General features: G+C 35.6%; 2 long non-coding RNA genes across 4 annotated transcripts in view, besides 1 other annotated feature; one reads left to right on the top strand and one right to left on the bottom strand.

The window, feature by feature from the left end:
- The window catches only part of LOC105373776 (uncharacterized), a 116,629-nt gene extending 111,452 nt beyond the window's left edge, over positions 1-5,177 (top strand). The window contains exon 4 of the long non-coding RNA XR_923650.3: positions 5,090-5,177. This is a non-coding gene — a long non-coding RNA (uncharacterized LOC105373776). The remainder of the gene's footprint in view (positions 1-5,089) is intronic.
- LOC102724340 (uncharacterized) overlaps positions 1-20,855 on the bottom strand; it is a 246,221-nt gene that overhangs the window by 152,554 nt on the left and 72,812 nt on the right. The gene's annotated exons all lie outside the window — the stretch shown is intronic.
- Positions 12,317-13,516: an enhancer, noted in NCBI's record as "CDK7 strongly-dependent group 2 enhancer chr2:185135148-185136347 (GRCh37/hg19 assembly coordinates)". NCBI's record gives its function as "activates an origin of replication core promoter dependent on BRD2, BRD4, P300/CBP, MED14 and CDK7 cofactors, with strong dependence on CDK7, by STARR-seq in HCT116 cells {active_cell/tissue: HCT116}" and the evidence as "EXISTENCE:reporter gene assay evidence [ECO:0000049][PMID:35650434]".

Below are 20,855 nucleotides of genomic sequence, written 5' to 3'. Positions count from 1 at the left end.
CAAAGTCTTGGAACCAACCCTAATGCCCATTAATGATAGACTGGATAAAGAAAATGTGTCACATATACACCATGGAATACTATGCAGCCATAAAAAAGAATGAGTTCATGTCCTTTGCAGGGACATGGATGAAGATGGAACCGTCATTCTAGAAAACTAACACTGGAATAGAAAACCGAACACCTAATGTTCTCACTTATAAGTGGGAGTTGAACAATGAAAACACATGGACACAGGGAGGCAAACATGACACACTGGGGCTTTTCGGGGTGTGGGGGGCAAGGTGAGGGATAGTATTAGGAGAAATACCCAGTGTAGGTGATGGGTTGATGAGTGCAGCAAACCACCATGGCATGTGTATACCTATGTAACAAACCTGCACGTTCTGCACATGTATCCCAGAACTTAAAGTATAATTTAAAAAATAAATAGAATAAAATAAAATAAAGTTGTAAAAAAATAAAGATCTTCTCTACAAGATATTTTTATTTAAGTGAGTAGAAAAGGAATGAGAGGAGACAAGATTCCTAGTGAGATACATATATGATCAGATGGCCCCTGAGAGACACATTTTGAGTATTTGCTTCCTTCCTGGGCAAGTCTCAGTGCCAGCTCCAGTTTTGAAACTCAGCTGTTCTTCATTTTTCATTCCATGCTAGCTATACATGTTTTGCTTCATTTTGTTTTAATTTTTTTGTGTGGTTTGGATTTTTTTTTTTCATTATGCTTTAAGTTCTGGGATACATGTGCAGAACATGCAGGTTTGTTACATAGGTATACACATGCCATGGTGTTTTACTGAACCAACCTGTCATCTACATTAGGTACTTCTCCTAATGCTATCCCTCCCAATAGCCCCCCAACCCCTAACAGGCCTTGGTGTTGATGTTCCCTTCCCTGTGCCCATGTGTTCTCATTGTTCAGCTCCCACTTATGAGTGAGAACATGTGGTGTTTGGTTTTCTGTTCCTGTGTTAGTTTGCTGAGAATGATGGTTTCCAGGTTCATCCATGTCCCTGCAAAGGACATGAACCTATTTTTTTATGGCTACATAGTATTCCATGGTGTGTATATGCCACATTTTCTTTATTCAGTCTATCATTGATGGACATTTGGGTTGGTTCCAAGTCTTTGCTATTGTGAATAGTGCTGCAATAAGAACACATGTACATGTGTCTTTATAGTAGAATGATTTATAATCCTTTGGGTATAAACCCAGTAATGGAATTGTTGGGTCAAGTGGTATTTCTGGTTCTAGATCCATGAGGAATCGTCACACTGTCTTGCACAATAGTTGAACTAATTTAGACTTTCACTCATAAAAGCGTTCCTATTTCTCCACATCTTCTCCAGCATCTGTTGTTTCCTGACTTTTTAATGTTCACCATTCTAACTGGCGTGAGATGGTATCTCCTTGTGGTTTTGATTTGCATTTCTTTAATGACCAGTGATGTGAGCTTTTTTTCATATGTTTGTTGGCCTCATAAATGTTTTCTTTTGAGAAGTGTCTGTTGATATCCCTTGCCCACTTTTTGTTAGCATTTCTTGTTTTTTTTTCTTGTAAATTTGTTTAAGTTCTTTGCAGATTCTGGATATTAGTCCTTTCTCAGGTGGATAGATCGCAAAAATTTTCTCCCATTCTGTAAGTTGCCTGTTCACTCTGATGACAGTTTCTTTTGCTGTGCAGAAGCTCTTTTGTTAATTAGATCCTATTTGCCAATTTTGTCTTTTGTTGCCATTGCTTTTGATGTTTCAGTTATGAAGTCTTTGCCCATGCCTATGTCCTGAATGATATTGCCTAGGTTTTCTTCTAGGCTTTTAATGGTTTTAGGTCTTATGTTTAAGTCTTTAATCCATCTTGAGTTAATTATTTATAAGGTATAAGGAAGAGGTCCAGTTATATTTTTCTGCATACGGCTAGCCAGTTTTCCCAACACCATTTATTAAATAGTGAATCCTTTCCCCATTGCTTGTTTTTATCAGGTTTGTCAAAGAACAGATGGTTATAGGTGTGTGGCATTATTTCTGAGCCTCTGCTCTCTTTCATTTGTCTATATATCTGTTTTGGTACCAGGACCAGACGGATTCACAGCCGAATTCTACCAGAGGTACAAAGAGTAGCTGGTACCATTCTTTCTGAAATTATTCCAAACAATAGAAAAAGAGGGACTCCTTCCTAACTCATTTTATGAGGTCAGCATCATCCTATTACCAAAACCTCGCAGAGACCCAACAAAAAGAAAATTTCAGGCCAATATCCCTGGTGAACATTGATGTGAAAATCCTCAATAAAATACTGGCAAACCGAATCCAGCAACACATCAAAAAGCTTATGCACCATGATCAAGTCGGCTTCATCCCTGGGATGCAAGTCTGGTTCAACATATGGAAATTAATAAATGTAATTCTTCACTTCAACAGAACCAATGACAAAAACGACATGACTACCTCAATAGATGCAGAAAAGGCCTTCGATAAAATTCAACATCCCTTCATGCTAAAAACTCTCAATAAACTATGTATTGATGGAATGTATCTCAAAATAGTAAGAGCTATTTATGACAAATCCACAGCCAATATCATACTGAATGGGCAAAAACTGGAAGCATTCCCTTTGAAAACCAGCACAAGACAAAGATGCCCTCTCTCACCATTCCTTTTCAACATAATATTGGAAGTTCTGGCCAGGACAATCTGGCAAGAGAAAGAAATAAAGGGTATTCACATAAGAAGAGGGGAAGTCAAATTGTCTCTGTTTGCAGATGACATGACTGTATATTTAGAAAACCCCCTCACCTCAGCTCAAAATCTTAACCTGATAAGCAACTTCAGCAAAGTCTCAGAATACAAAATCAATGTGCAAAAATCACAAGCATTCCTATACACCAATAACAGACAAGCAGAGAGCCAAATCATGAGTGAACTCCCATTCACTATGGCTACAAAGAGAATAAAATACCTAGGAATACAACTTACAAGGAATGTGAAGGACCTCTTCAAAGGGAATTACAAACCAATGCTCAAGGAAATAAGACAGGACACAAAGAAATGGAAAAACATTCCATGCTCATGGATAGGAAGAATCAATATCCTGCAAATGGCCATACTGCTCAAAGTAATTTATAGATTCAATAGTATCCTCATCAAGCTACCATTGACTTTCTTCACAGAATTAGAAAAAAACTACTTTAAATTTCATTTGGAACCTAAAAAGAGCCCATATAGCCAAGACAATCCTAAGCAAAAAGAACAAAGCTGGAGGTATCACGCTACCTGACTTCAAACTATACTACAAGGCTATGGTAACCAAAACGCATAGTACTTGTTTTATTTATATGCTTTTAATACAACCCAATCATTGGGCTGCAATTAACTGAATGTTTGTGTACCCTCTGCCCTAAATTCATACATTGAAGCCCTAATCCCTGGATAATGGTCTTTGGGAGTAAGGCCTAGGAAGATTATTATGTCATGAGAATAGAGCCTTCATGGATGGAATCATTGTTCTTATAAGAAAAGTCCAGCTAGCTCCCCTTCTGCTGTGTGAGCATATAAGAAGTCAACAATGTGAAACCTGGAAGAGGGCCTCACAAGAACCTAACCATGTGGCACACTGATATCAGACTTCAGACCATTAAAGATAAGTTTCTAAATCACCCAAGTCTCTGGTACTTTATTATAGCAGACCAAGCTAACTAAGACACCTGCCAGCTTATGAGGAATCTGCAAGGTACTTCCTCCTGGGCACCAGAGCTCTTTTTATGTCAATTAGTTCCATCTTCGAAAGAAAGAATATACCACTTGTTTACGAGATCTCTGATCTGTTTATACGTTGAGAGGGATCCTTCTTGGCTGCATCTCTCTTTTGCCACTAGAGCCATTGTATTCTATCGGTCATCTCATAAATCCCTGTGGTACGGAGAGTGTAACTGTACACTGGGAAAAGCAAAAACTTGAACATTCCAAAGGCTTTTTGACTCCGAGTCTGAATTACAATTGATATTCAGAGAACTGAGGTCTTATTATACTCACCCTCACCCTCATCCCCCTATCATACTGCCCATTAGGGTTAAAGTGTATGAGAGCCTGATAATAGATGCAATACTGATCTGGGTCCAGCTTACAGCAATCCCACTGCCTCTGCACTTCCACCTAGTGACCACTTAGCCAGTCCCTGAATAAATGATTGAAATATGACATACCTGAAAGTTGACTTAAGCATTTCTTTGGACCCTTGAATGTGGAGTAAGAGTTCTTGTAAGACTAGTGGAAAAAGAAAAGTGGAGTCCCAAACTCAGCAAATATATTCAAATAATAAAAACATTAGATTCTGATAAAAATGACTACCCTTGATGACCTACAGGATACATGGGTGATGGCCTTCATCCAGTCTCCATTTAAAGAAGATAAGAAACAGTAAACATTCACATGAAAACGACAATCACATATATTTAGAGGTTTCAGTTTCATCACATTTCTATGTTAAGTCTTTTTTCCCTCTATCATAATATAGCTCAAACAATTTTGGATTATTTGATATCTCTCAATATGCTAGCATGCTCTATCACTGAAATTGCGTTAACCAGACTGGATGAGCAAGACATTGAGGTCTTGGGAAGACACATGTGCTACCTAGAGTTTGAGCTATGTCCTATGATGATTTAGGAACCTTTACCACATAAGTAAAGATTTTAGGGATTTAGTAGTTTGGGACATACTTGGACACACCCTTCAAAGTAAAGAACCATCTGGTGTATCTTGAACCTTCCACTACTAATAAGGAGTAATAATACCTAAGTAGGCGTCTTCAGGTTCTAGAGACAGAATATTCTATAATTGTGAGTACTCTTCTGGGCCATATTTCAGAAGACAGAAAATGAGTTGTTACTGAATATTCATATCTTCCCAAAATGTATATGTTGAAGCCCTAACCCTTACTGTGGATGTATTTGAAGATTGGACCTCTAAGCAAACAATCTAGGTTAAATGAAGTCATAAGGGTGAGGCTTTGATTCGGCAGAATTGTTGTCCTTAAAAGAAGACATACCAGACAGCTTGTTCTTTCTCTCTGTCTCTCTTTCTATCTGTAGGTGCACAAAGAAGAGGTCTTATGAGCATATGAAGAGATAGCAACCACCCACAAGCCAAGAAAACAGCTCTCAGAAGGAAACCTACTTTGCTAGAACTCTGATCCTGGATGTCCCACCCTCCGGAACTGAGGCTGTTTAAGCCATGCAGTCTATAATATTTTGTTAGGGAAGCCTGAGCTGAATAATATAGGAGTGAGACTCGGAATAGAAAAGGGCTCTGCCACAAATCCAAACTGCTGAGCAAGTGGCTTTGCTAATTGACCCATACTGACATTAGTGGTATACATTAAGGAACCTGTGAAATCGGAATATAAGTTATGGGAAAAGACGTCATATGTAGAATCACAATAAAGACTTGTAGAGTTGGACAGAACTTCCCCTCATTAGCCAGCTTCTGTCAAACCCATGATATAAGTAGTACAGATAATAATCCATTGTCAGGTATAAATGGTACATCTTTAATTTCGCAGAAGGAGGATTGGAGAGAGCAAGCAAGTTCCAAAAACTCGCAGCCCAGAACCTCATGTCCTCCACCAAGCTTGCACCAAAATTTTTCTCTCTCATGTCACAGCTATGGCCATACATAAAATCATGTATGACCAGATGACAGAAGAGGAACACCTAAAGCTTAGTTCACAGATAAGTTGACTCCGTAAGTGGTGCAAGCCAAAAATGTATGCTAGTTTTACGGGAATATAGCTGCCACATATTCCCACTCAAGGGTGGGCTTGAAAGAGAATGGTAAGGGAAAATTCTCCTAATGGATAGAATTTGGGCATTTTACTTGGGGACCAATCTTGTATGAAAATAGAAGTGGTTAGAATATATACACACTCTTGACCAAAGGCTTGGTCAGGGACCTGAAAAGAGAAAGACTGGAAGATTAAGGTTAAGCAAACTTGGGCTAATGATATGAGTGGATGCAGGAAAATTGATACAAAGTGTGAAAAATCTTTAAATAATATATCAACTTTCACCAGCACCTTGGAGGGCTTAAGAATGTTTAATGTAGGAATGTAGATATAATTGAATAAGATATGGAACCTACTTTACCACAAAGGAGGTGGAGGTGAGGCCCCAGGATCACAGAATCCACTTTTATATCATATATATGGTACCACTCATAAGTGGTCTGATAAAGTGATGTAACCTAATTTTGAAGCGAGTCAATTAAACATCATTCTCTAGGACATAATAGTACACATTTTAAAGAACTTTATATGGTGCTATTCCCCAATATGTAAAAAATATGAATCAAATAGTGGAAGCCTATATTACAAAAGCATTACAATTCAACCTCATCCTTTGCCAATCCTGCTTCCTTCACAATGCACAGGTTCTGAAAATATTCACCAATACTTTTCTCACAGGTAAATCTACATCTCAAAGTCTGCTTCGCAGGAATCCCATTCTGGGATGGGTAGTTTCTAAATTACTCAGATGGCATGTGTTAGTGATGGATATCCAAAATCCTTTAATATCTCAAAACCATCTTTCTTTTGCTGTGACAGAAGAATGCTATCTTTGCTGCATGTAATATTTTTCATCCATAATTATTTTCCCTTTTGTATTCTATACATATTCCACTGCCTCATAGCTTTCAATATAGATGATGAGAACTGTGATATGGTTTACTTTATTTCCTTCATTAGTTGGAAATCATATATTCTAGCTATTTTGTATATATTTTATAATCATCACTACTATAATATATAGTAGTCTGGGTCTAGGAGAGTGTACTGATAACATCAATTTTATAAGGAATTTTCAGTGTTTTTACTTCTAGACTTGAAAGTTTCAGCAAGTGAAATAAAGTTTTATATCAGTTTATTTTGTTAGACCCTATGCCTCATCTGTTTCTTTTGCTCCAATAAAAGATCAACTATTTACACTTTTGAAATTTGCATATTTGATATACTGAATCTATCTGAAAAGTTTTCATTTTTCCATTACCTTATATTTTGTGTTGTGAGATTATTTTTTTCACTTCATTTGCAAGTTGCTATTTTGTTTTTAGGTTTGCATATTAAATCTTTAACCAAAAATCTATGCTTTATTTCCACAGTATTAATCTTTAATTGAATCTCCTTTGTATTCTGTCATTATATTTTATTATTTGTTTATTGTCTTTTGTCCACTCCAGGAATTTTATTTCACTTAGAGCTGACTGTTCTACTGGATCCCCTAAGGAGATCTTCATTTTCTTTGGATACTCATATTTCTGGTCATTCTAGGAGTCTGAGTAGTAGGAAGCAGAGCAGTCCATTCTCCTAAAATCTATGGAAGTACTAGAAGCAACAGTTGAGCTCCTAGGAAGAAGCCTGGCTGCTCCCAGAACTTTCCATTTAAAGGTGTTAGCACTCTCTTAGCCTCAGGAATAGGGACGCACCTAGGAAACCCGTATGACCTTCATGAACATCTTTTAGCACCAAGTTACCCAATGTGACCTGCTAGGATCACACACAATAAATACCTGCAGTCAAGTGTTCCCTGAGAAGCATGAAACCTTCATCTTTACATGACTAATCCCTGAAGTTTGACCCTCTTTTTGTCAGGATAAGAGCTTGCCAGCATCTGTTCCTCATATTGCAGCAGAGCTGGTCTATATACCACATGTTCTTTCAGTATGCATCCTCATGATCATGGCAGATTTTCTGAGAGGTTTTGTTTCATCAGAATCGAGCTTGAATAGAACTTTAGAAATGCTTTTTCAGGCCATTGCCTTCAGACTAAAAATAAATTGAAATATATTTATATGGTCATAAAATGTAAACTATGATATTTGATTTCCAACATTTAGGTTCAATATATAGACAACGTCCCCTAAAACAAATAGGAGCTATAGACTTGTCTACCTTGAAAGTATAACAGTAAAGGTATATCTTTCCTTTACAATGTGATGCGAATGTGAAGAGCAGAGGTAGAAGGAATTTAAGTATGTTAATTTTCAAATCTTACAAAATTTAAATTCTAAAAGTACAGAAAAATAGTTGAACTATAAAATAGATATTATATTCATTATTTAAAGTTTCAAGGACCATATATGGAAAAACTGCTAGGGCTGTTATCACTAATAATTGGAAGCAGAGAGAAGGTACAAGTAAACTATAACCTCATGTTACTTAGTAAGAATTCTGAGAACAAAATAAAAATTCAAATATAAAATTATCATAAGGTATAGAAATAAAAAATTACAATTGCAAGTTTTCAAAAAGTGGTAGCCTCTGTGCAGTGGTGCTGTGGTATGGATTGGGGAACAGTTGCTTTTCTCTGTGAGGTCTTCTGTATTTGTTCGTGAGTTAATTTGACTAAAAATAAAAGAACGGCTTGTAATTATTAATGACGATTTTCAGGTGAAGTAAATCTCTGTGGTGGAATTTCAGAAAATGTGGCATCAGGGTGGGAAAATATCTTTACAGGAAGTTATCTATTGTGCCTCATAAGCCAGCCCTTCATCTTAATGATTGAGATTAAGATAGGTGTAGAATTAGTAGAACTTTTCTTAACTATAGCTTTCAGTTTAAATTTTTGAGGTTAAAAGTATATTAGAAAATTTCTAATTAAATTTATATTTAGTAAAGAAGATTTTAATTTTAGTTACTAATTATTACTCCAGGTGTATTTTCCATATTTTCTCAAGACAGAAAAAATGTTTGCTTATAATCGTGAAACCAAACTTATTAATATAATAAATTAACAAGCTCTGGGGGGAAATGTGACAGAGAAGTGTCCTGTGGTGACTGGCCTGAGCTTTCTAAAGTCATTTCTAGTTAAAATAAAATATTGACAGTTTAGACAGTTATTTTTTTAAATTACAGAATAGTAATAACCAAGAGCATAAATAAAATGTTCAAAGACATGGGCATTATATTTTATGGAGAAAAAGTGAAGTCATGGAAATTGTCTATGGAGTTTCTATACATGGTGCCTATGTATTGAAATTTTAGTCATGGGCATTGCAATAATCAGTGGCTTGTTTTGTAGTTGAAGCATTATGGCAATAAATACTACCACAGACAATTCACAATTACAGTATGAATCTATATGACCAAAGTTGTGTTTCTATGTAGACTATCAGTAGAAGGACAAATTACCACTTTTTAGTTTTCGTGGTTGTTCTGCCCTTATAATGACTTTGCACTTTACTGTTCTAAACTCCCACAAGCTTCATTTGAGCTAATTTTTGTTTGTATTTCTTTTTCTGGTTGGTTTTTTCCAACTTCTTTAGAAGGAAAAAAAGTCATAACTAGGATACATTGGAAAACATAAAGCATTGACACTGATGGCTTTCTAGATGAGCATGTGCTATTTTGTGAGAGACATATAATTCAATTCATTTTGTGAAGGTAATATGTTGTCAGTATATTTTATTTTCTGTATTATGAATTTCAAATATTATAAGTGGTCATACTTAGCTTCTTGTGAACTGATACTGAATGAATATTATAAAGCAAGTTTAAAGTTAAGCATATATCATCACTTGATCTGGAGATTTAGAACACTAAAATCTCTACTGAATTATATTTATATTGCACTAAATATAATTTATATTGCACTAAATTATAGATGCAATCAACAGTGTTGCCTAGACTTAATAATTGCTCAGTGAAATCTAGGCATTAAAGAAAATGTCAAATCATTCAATTCCCTACTAATAATCTGAAAAAATTTTATTTAAAACCATAGCAAAAGTAACAGCACAAGACAAAATTGGAATTTTAGGTGTGAGTATTGCAATGATCAGTGGATGAAGAGAGCTTTGGAAAATTATTACAGTAAAATAAAATACTCAGAAATAGGAATATTTTGCCCCAAATTGTGCCAGTTCTGAAGACTTCTGAGTTGACTTTTGATTCAAAAGATTAGGAATGTATGTATCATGTAACAATCAGTAAAGCAGAGAACCACTCTGTGAATATTCTGTGACTCTTTATTAATTGAAATAATAATAGCTAAACTTGAAGGCTTTCTTTTTGTCAGACACTTCTCTAAATTCTTCCCAAAATAATTTTGTTAAAGTAAAGCATAAATAATTTCAATCACCTAACCAGGATCATACAACTTGTAGGAAAGTTGATATTCGAACCCAGGCAATCTGACACTAGCACTCATACGTCCAACTATTCAATGATTCCTTGAGCCAAAATGAAGTATTATTTAACCACTGAATTATTGTTGTGAGTAATATATAATAGTTTTATTTCTTTATATGTAGAAAGAGAAACACAGTGTTTACTACAAAGCAAAATATGGAATGCTTGTCAGTAAATGCTCATTTTATATGAATACATTATCGTATTTTACATAAAAAGCATACATTTCAAATTTGTTTTCTATTAGAGCTGAATTTATTTTTCAGGTCCTTAGTGTTTTGTAAGATCCTCTCTTGCTCACACACACACCCAATTTAATTGCACTATTCTTATTATTGACACTTACAGTCAATAGCAGGAATCGCTCTAATTGAGTGAAGGTGACAAAATATTTAGAATATTACTGTATTTTAAAAGCTGATACTTTATAGGTTAAGCAAAGGCAAAATTGATATATTTAGTATTCTTTACAATTGTATATTTTGCTTTAGTGATAATTTTATGTGAATTATATATATTTGAGAAAGAGCAGACTAATACGTAGGCAAAGTAGGTCACTATCAAAATGTTAAATTTGATGGAGTGTTCCAAAGTATCTCTCATATGATCAGTAATCCTCTCTAGTCAGCATTTATTAATATTTACTAAATGCCAGGTACAATCCCAGAAAGTAGAGATTCCAAAATTAGTAACTAGTCATAAGATAACAAAATAGTATGGAACATATTGAAAAGAGTAATTAGAATGAAGCAAAATCTGAAACTTCTATAGAAGTGGCAGGATTTAATCTGGGCCATGAAGAAGGGATAGGCACTTGCTAGATAGAAAAGCAAAGGAAAAAGAAATTTAGAAGGATAGGACAGTGTAAACCAAACACAGAGGTAAGAAAGTGTGGCTCACGGTCTGGGAGTCCAGGATAAACAGTAAGATTCAGAAAGTCTGTCTCAGAAATAACAAAACAGTGAGAAAAAAGATTTGCAAGAGAGTCTAGACAGTAAAAAATTGACTTGTCAAGTAATCTTTAAACAATACAGTAGTATTTAAAGGACAACAAACACAACATCTTCAATACTGCTGGATCTACAGCTTGTCAGTTTATGTTGGAAAAACTGGAATTTTCTCACGTGATTATTACACTGACCAAGTTCATCATCTCTCTTTCGATATTAACAATTGGAAAGTCAGGGGAAAATGTATTTTGTGAAGGAATCAGCAAATCACGAGAAATGTGAAGGTGTCATTTATTAAGACAAAGTGACCCTCATTTTTGTTGTTGTTGTAGTTATTATTCATTTCAGGGTACAAAGTGCCTCTTCTTCTAACTGTGGAATATGATTTATATGCCCATCCTTAGTGACAGCAGGGCAAGATGTCAGTTTTGTTTTTTCAGGAACACTTGTCATTGTTGTATTAATAAAATGAATAACCAGCGATTGGACTGGAGAGGTATGTTGATACCAGATTATGAAAAGCCTACACTTCAGATTCCCAGTCTCTGGATGACTTGCAATTTTCTATTATTAGAATCATTATCCACATGCACTTTACCTTTATGCTGCCATCAGGTTTCTGCCTCCTCCCCCTTATGTTAGCAGATTACAATGAACTAGTTTCTAGTTTAGTGAAACAACATATTGGGGCCTGAAGATAACATATATGAAAATGAGTGTGACTCCAAGGGAACCCTGAACTGTGCCTCACAGGATGGTTTCAGGTTGAGAACAACCCAAAGTAATAAACCCCTTCTGGAGTCCACCAGGGAAAACAACCAAAATGGAATGACGAGATCTCACTTACATTTCAGTTTGTTTGTTGAGAATGTGTTTGCCATGAAACTAATGTTTAATTTACATGTGGCTTCTTCATTAAAATCACCTTTTGAAACTATATAGTCTTTTCCCCTTTTCAAATCATACTTCTGGATAAAGGTTAAGGGAGCCTAATATATGAGAGTAAATGTGTTCTATTTATTGCAAAGAAAAAAAGTTCTGTAAACAGGTATTTTTTGTTTCTCTGAAGTGTTTTACTAATGTAATATTCTTAATTCTCTCCACCCACGAGCCTCAGCCCAGCTATTCTTGTACATTACTTCCTGATCCACAGGAAACAAATGTAAGTTCTGGGATAAAGCAGGCCTCTGCTCACTTATTAAGGTCTTTCTCTGTTAATGGTAACTTCTTGTTTTCTCCTGCTGCTTTGCCTCGCTCCCTTATTTCTAGCAGATTTTCAGGTTTCTGTTTGCCTGGATACTTGGCAGGGCAGTTTTCTTTACTTGTAGGATTTTCAAACACATGCTTCTTATGTATTTGCCTGAACTCTGCCTCACTTGTACCTTCCTGTATGTATTTTGTTAGCTGCTTCTCTACTTAAGAGCAACCTGTTTCCTACCCTGACTCCCATACTTCATCCATTAAAATATGTTTTTCTCTTCTAAACTGTGCTTCTGACCTCTTCCCACCCATGCCTGTGAATGTTACAAAGTCAGGTTCTATTATAGATTCTTTGACCTGATTAAGTGAAAAATAGAGCAACAACATACAGGAGCTAACGTAAATGTTTATCATGAATATGTTTAAGAGGAGAAAAGAACAAACCACTTGGGATAAGAACGGCAAATAGTAATGCTATTATTGCTCTGTGGATTTACTTGTATTATTTTGCTGTTTTGCTATTTTGTCTTTTTATGTCTCTTCCTAGGCTTGTGACCTGCCAAGATGCATATTCTCCCTTCTTTGCAGGCCTGGATTCCCAAAGGGATCTAGTGGCACATTTGCCAACTCTGCGGAAAGGCAATTATTAGGCAATTCCCATCTCCCTTTCATTAGAAACTCTCCTGTTATTCTGTCGTGAGCTTTCCTGCCTCTGATGAAATGCCTTCAAATCTCTCTTTACCATGTGTTCAGTGGCCCCTTTAACTGATCTCTACATGAGTGATTCCAGCTGAACTGTAGACATTAAGGAAGAAAATACTGCCGGCGTATCCGGGAGAATAATTCTTCCCACAATCAACAAAGACCCATCTGGGTATTATGTTCTTGCCTTGAATCTGCCATTCTCACTACAAAGGAAGTGGTTTAAATTCCCTGTTAACTGATTTCACAATTACCTGTATTCTCTCTAAAGAAGCTAAATATCTTTGTTTTCTCTTTTCTCAATTTCATGCATTTTTAAAAATTCAATGCAACACAACCCTTTTTAAGCATCATTCTACTTTGTCATTTCTGCAAAGGTCTTCAGGTTATTCATACTTTAGTTTCACTTTTATTAAACGGACCCTAAATAAATGAGACAAAATCTATATCATATATATTTAACTGAAAAGAGGATTTCATTAGTATTCAATATTTAGTCTCTGTAAAATGGTAGAAAATAAACAAGGTAACAGGCAGTGATGTCTAGCAGGAAACCTTTGAAACCACTCACTGCTCAATCAAGATCCATATCCTTTCTGTGGAGGCAGACAGTTCACCTAGTCTCCTACTGTGGCTAAAAATGAAGCCTCTAGAATCAGACTCTGGGTTTGACTCTTCCTCCACTCTGTGACCCTGAGCAAATTACTTAATTTCTCTGTGTCTCAGTTTCCTCCTCTTTACAACGAGCTTCTATTATGACTGTGTGAAATAGATGAAGTAGAGTAGGGATACCCAACCACTCCTGGGCCACGGACCTGTAGTGGTCCCTGGTCTGTGAGGAACCAGGCCACACAGCAGAGGGTAAGCAGTGGGCCAGGATCATTACTGCCTGAGCTCCATCTCCTGTCAGATAAGTGGCACCAATATGTTCTCATGAGAGCACAAACCCTTCTGTGAACTGTGCATGTGAGGAATCTAGGTTGTGTGCTCCTTATGAGGATATAACTAATGGTTTCGGGTTTCCATTCCTGTCCCCACCCCCATCCATGGAAAAATTATCTTTCACAAAACCAGTCCCTGGTGCCAAAATGTTTGGGGGCTGCTGAAGTAGAGCACTTAGAGGAAGGCATACCATGCACAAAGTGGTTGATGAATGCGTTAGTAGTAAACCTCTTTTTGATCAAGATGCCAGTAGAAGTTCAGGAGTATATAGTTATCATCAAAAAAATTGGATTCTTAGTCTTCTTTTGCTCTCATAACTGAATGCTTCCCCCAAAACCTGACCCCAAAAAGTTTGCCTTCTGTTACAGGTTGAATTGTGCCCCTCCAAAATTCATATGTTGAAGCCCTAATCTTTAAAAATTGTACTTCAGGTTGTGACCTTTTTTGGAAGTAAAGTCTTTACAATGGTCTTCAAGTTAAAATGAGGTCATTAGGGCAGGTCCTAATCCCAAACGACTGTTGTTACAAAAAATAAATTTGGAGACAGACACAAATACAGGGAGAGCTGCATGTGAACATCAAGCAGAGATCAGGGTGATTCAACTACAAGCCAGGGAACATCAAAGTTGCCAGCAAGCCACCGAAAGCCAGGAGAGAGGCCAACAAGTTTCCTTCTTCAGAAGAAGCCAACCCTGTCAACACCCTGTCAACTTCAGATAGAAGTTTGATCTCAGATTTCTAGCCTTCAGAACTGTGAGACAATACATTTCTATTGCTAAAGCCACCAGTTTGTGGTATTTTGTTATGGCAGCCCTAGCAAACCAATACATCCCGTTGCCCCATCTCCCTTAGTGTTCAGTTTGTTTGTTTGTTTGTTTGTTTTGGATCTGCCCCAGCTACCCTGAGACAGCAGCTGCCCAGTTATATGTTTCTATATTGGGAGTAAGGGAGCAATGCTAGGAGACTGAAAAATGGAGAGTTCAGTCTGAATTGTAATACGCAGGTTTTCCCTCCAAATAACACCGTATGTTATGGACCACAGACAGGCTCCAGCTAAGTGCATGGATTAAGTCTGAGATCAATAATGTTGAAAGTTCACTTTATGCCAGATGGTTTCCATGGCTATTAATGATGCCTCATTTTATACTCATTGAAATTAATTTGTTTGGCTCAAATTTGAAAATTATTGGATTCAAGTAATACAAGAAGCTGTAACAGTCCCCAGGTTGCATATTTTACATGTATTAATAGTAATTTTATAATTTACCTGAAAATAGGGCTTAGAGCATGAGAAGCATGAGAAAGTCCCAGTCTTCTGAAGAAAGGGAATGTCAGAATCAACACTTGGCTAAGTGAAGGGAAAGAGAAAGGAAGTTGTATTATAGACAGACTTAAGCATTCCACTGTTGATTGACACTGTCACGTACAGAAGGTTTAAGAATAGATAAACCTGCCATATAAAAACAAAATAATGGTTAAAATAATTTAACCAACAACCTTTACAGTATATTTTCCTGAGATGGCTAAGATAAGTTGGTTTTGTTTTCATTTGGTTTTTGTTAGTGGTTTTGTATTTAATGACTTTGATTCTCTACCATCAACACACACCTCCCCGCTTTGGGCTCTGAAAACCATAATTGCTAATTGGGTACATAGGGAAAGAATCAATTTAAACTAACTGGGTCATAAACCACATACAGGTTTCTAAACCGAGGGAGCAACAGTTTAAAACTGCACTCCAAGGAGATGTCTAAATCACAGGTACATTAAAGTTGTGCAAATGGTTTCAAGAAATATTCAGATTTAGTACAGTTATTACCACACAAAGTATTCATTTGCTACTTTTATGCTGATCCACCTACTGATGTCTGCTAATGATAGAGAAGGAACAATGGGCATTATTAGCTTGATCCTAAGGGTCAATTTGTCTCAATTAAAAGTATTATTTGCCCAAAGCATGCTTTTATTTCAAGACTGTGCTCAGGCTTTAGAGGTATTCTTGTTTGCAAGGCAACCATTAAAGGTATATAAGTTCCAGGCCTCCAGAGCCCTGAAGTAGAACTTTTACAATTTCAGTAACCAGAACTTCTCGAAAGTTTGTGAAATGTTCTAAATTATTGCTTCACTCTTGAGTACTGGTTCTCAACCTTTTGTTGTCCATTAGATTACCTGAAGAAACTTTAAAAATCTCAATGCCAAGGCCTTGCCACAAACTAATTATTCCTCAGAATTTTCAGAGGCATAATATCAGTATCCACAAGCCAACACCAAAGTGTGAGATGCAATGCTCTAGAACCTTGGGACCCACTATGGCCCCCAGACCAGTGGCTGGCATTGGGATCACCTGTGAGTTTATTGGAACTACAGACTCCTGGGTCCCACTCCAGACCTACTAAATTAGCATCTTCTCTTTGGCAAGATCCCCAGGTGATTTGCATGCATATGAAAGTTGGAAAGGAATAGATTTAGTTTAGAGGGTCTTGTAGCATCCTTACCCAAAGAGTTCACTGGCATAATCAGAATACCCTAAAGTAGTAATTTACCCAAGAAGTTATTTTTTTTCAAGTTTGTGTTGCTTGCTGCTTTAGTCAACTTGTCAGAAGTGTAGCTGTTTAAAGGATTTTTTTTTCAGATATCATAAAAGGTAAATTTCCCTCTAATATGAAAATAGAAAGTCAAATTATAAGGAATTTGCTCTAATCTGAAAGAAGATTTGACACTGACTAATATCCAGGGACACCGTCAGAAAATGGAGCTAGCATGTACCTCATTGGGTATTTCCAAGACACTAAAGCTATGTATTTTAAACGTGAATTTTCCTATCATATCCCAAGTAGAAAATGTTCCTTTTATTTTACTTACCTACCTGGGGCATATTCTTATCAATATGGATAAAAATATATAAGTGATAAAGCTATTTAATGACAAGATAAAACCAAGGTTACTGACTGACTTATTGATCATTAATAGTTGGCTATGTAAAAGACTGAGTAAAGTAAAGGTGTCTTTAAACCTTATTCAGTTTTAGGTAAGAGTTAAAAATTTGCTGGAGGATTAAAAATGTATTAGGATTTACATTAATGTTACTAGAAAAGTGATCGTCTGATGAACTGTTTACATTTTGAGTAATGTATTTATTCAAAAACCAACAGCAGAATGGACAAAGAATTTATTTTTAATAAAGAATATCAAAGTTTTGAGTAATTAGGATATTATGACAACTGTAAATGATTCCTGCTATAATAAAATTGGCCTACATTCACCTAGCAAAATGTGTTCATATGGTCCCATTAGTGTAATTAATAATTTCTGAGAAAAGAGCTAATCTATTTGACAACTAAATAAAATTATGAGTTATTGACTATTTCTTCAGAATACTTAATTGTCCTGTAATTAAATGGTAGTAAAACATTTACAGAATAAAAATACATTCCATCAGTACCTAGTTTATTGAGAGTCTTTAGCATGAAGGCGTATTGAATTATATCGAAAGTCTTTTCTGCATCTATTGAGATAATCATGTGTCTTTGTCACTGGTTATGTTTATGTAATGCATTACATTTATTGATTTGCATATGCTAAACCAACCTTGCATCCCAGGGATGAAGCCAACTTGATTGTGGTGGATAAGCTTTTTGATGTGCTGCTGGATTCAGTTTGCCAGTATTTTATTGAGGATTTTCGCATCGATGTTCATCAAGGCTATTGGCCTGAAATTTTCTTTTTTTGTTGTGTCTCTGCAAGGTTTTGGTAACAGGATGATGCTGGTCTCATAAAATGAGTTAGGGAGGAGTCCTTTGTTTTCTATTGTTTGGAATGGTTTCAGAAGGAATGGTACCAGCTCCTCTTTATACCTCCAGTAGAATTCAGCTGTGAATCTGTCTGGTTCTGGACTTTTTTTAGTTGGTAGGCTATTATTTACTCCCTCAGTTGTAGAACTTGTTATTGGTCTCTACAGGGATTCGACTTCTCCCTGGTTTAGTCTTGGAAGGGTGTATGTGTCCAGGAATTTATCCATTTCCTCTAGATTTTCTATTTTAATTGCACAGAGGTGTTTATAGTATTCTCTGATGGTAGTTTGTATTATTGTATTGACAAATGGTATCTAATTAAATTAAAGCGCTTCTGCTCAGCAAAAGAAACTGTCATCAGAGTGAACAGGCAACCTACAGAATAGGAGAAAAATTTTTGCAATCTATCTGTTTGACAGAGGTCTAATATCCAGAATCTACAAGGAACTTAAACAAATGTACAAGAAAAAGAAACACCATCAAAAAGTGGGTGAAGGATATGAATAGACACTTCTTAAAAGAAGACATTTATGAGGCCAACACACATGAAAAAAAGGTCATCATCACTAGTTATTAGAGAAATGCAAATCAAAACCACAATGAGATACCATCTCATGTCAGTTAGAATGGCCATCATTAAAAAGTCTGGAAACAACAGATAATGGTGAGGATGCAGAGAAATATGAACACTTTTACACTATTGGTGAAAGTGTAAATTAGTTCAACCATTGTGGAAGACAGTGTGGTGATTCGTCAAGGATCTAGAACCAGAAATACCATTTGACCTAAAAATCCCATTACTGGGTATGTACCCAAAGGATTATAAATCATTCTACTATAAAGACACATGCACACATATCTCTATTGCAGCACTTTTTACAATAGCAAAGACTTGGAACCAATCCTAATGCCCATAAATGATAGACTGGATAAAGAAAATGTGGCACATTCCATGGCTGCATGGAATACTATGCAGCCATAAAAAAGAATGGGTTCATGTCCTTTGCAGGGACATGGGTGAAGATGGAACCATCATTCTAGAAAACTAACACTGAAACAGAAAAACCAAACACCTCATGTTCTCACTCATAAGTGGGAGTTGAACAATGAGAACACATGGACACAGGGAAGGGAACATCACACACCAGGGTCTGTCGGGTGTTAGGGGGCAAGGGGTGGGAGAGCATTAGGACAAATACCTAATGCATGAGGGGCTTAAAACCTAGATGATGGGTTGATTGGTGAAGCAAACCACCAGGGCACATGACTATGTAACAAACCTGCAGGTTCAGCACACGTATCCCAGAACTTAAATTAAAAAAAAAAAGAATAAAAATAAAATGTGATTGATACTCTATCTGTAACAACATATTAAATTCTAATAAAACAAAATGTTAAAATAGAATATTAAGATCTATTATTATAAGATTTTTAAAAATAGCTACAGTTCTTTCCCTCAATGAGACTCTTAAGCATGCTCTTTTCCACCTTGTAAGCCCACTCTCCCTAATATTAAGTTACTCTGATATATTAAGTAAAAGTGATTATCACAGTTACAATTTTTTTCTTATTTTGAGTTTTCCTTATGTAATTGAGTTGGTTTTGTGAATACAAAGCTCTTCATTTTTTTCTCCTGTTCATATGCAAAGCCACTTTCATTTTGTAGTATTCATTTTCTGTCTCAAATTTTCTATCCAATATAATGTGAATAGTTAAGCAAGTTATTTTACTTTGTGCTTGTCTTTATCTACTTCCTCCAAATTGTCTTTTATCCACAATACTTTGTATATTTTCATCTGCCTCACCATTTTAATAATCCTGGTGAATAAACACACAAACCCACACACATTGAATTTTCTGCTGGAATTGGAAATCTTTGGCAAACAATCCAGCAATTTATTGAATTATGTGGGTCATGCTCTTGTTGTTGGGACTTAATAGTACTTGTTTGAGGAATATTTTTTCACTATTTCAATGGAATTTAAAAATACTATAATAACAATTACAAATGTATTGTTTATTACAGTTGTGGTTATGTGTTGCAGATTATTTAATTGTATAATTCCTACTACAAATCCACAAACTATTGCAGCCAGTTGTGATTCATAATTCAGAATTCCTCAACTTTTTAAAATATTTAAGTATGTGTATGCCAAATATTGCATAAACACCCTGAAGAGTCTGAAGTATCAGTCTATAATCAACACATTACTATTCCTGCAGCAAAACATGAAAAGTTACTCTAAAATGTGTTGATATTGAGTTTTATCAATATTTAAAATACCAATATAAATATCTCACCTCAGCATAGAAAGCATGCCAACTGAGTGTTGCATATTTACAAAAATCTTTCAGTTTTCAGAACTTTTATATTTTAGAATTGCAGATAGCTATGTGATTTTACATGTTTCACGGAAGACATTTAATACTTATAGATTAATGTTTCCCATTTATAAGAATGTAAGCACCAGAGTATTGTTTTCATTTTCCTTTGCTGTTCTTGATGAGTAGTTCATTAATGTGTATTAATAATCAGATTTTTTTCTCATAAAGATAAACTTTTTTTACAATACTAACTTTGCCATTTTACATTTTGTATGGACCTGTAATATTTAATTGGACATAAAATCTCGTGAAGAGCTAAAACATCTGTCATTAATAATCATTTTATGATTCGTTAATGAGGAGTCATAAAGTATTTTTAATATAATAAACATGCAAATTTACATATAACAATTTTAGTTTAAGATTCAAACTACTTTTTGAAATTATGAAATTTTTTAAGGATTTATTGGACATAGTGCCATGATAGAAATTATAATCACAATTCTGAATCCCAGAATCTGTATAGATTATTGCTATGGTTTGAAAGTGTTCTCCAACATTTGTTTGATGGAAACTTAATCCCTAATGCAACAGTGTTGAGAGATAGGACTCTTAAGATGTAAGCAGGTGATAAGGCTTGACCTAATAAATAAATTAATGCCTTAATTTTAGTAGTGGGTTAGTTACCTCCAGACTGAGTCGCTTATAAAAGGATGAGTCTTGCCCCTTCTTCCCTCTCTTGGGTATTTTCTCCTCATGTTAT

The sequence above is a fragment of the Homo sapiens genome, chromosome 2 (assembly GCF_000001405.40).
Source record: "Homo sapiens chromosome 2, GRCh38.p14 Primary Assembly".
Taxonomy (NCBI): Eukaryota; Metazoa; Chordata; class Mammalia; order Primates; family Hominidae; genus Homo; species Homo sapiens.
This window is presented reverse-complemented; position numbering and strand designations above follow the sequence as displayed.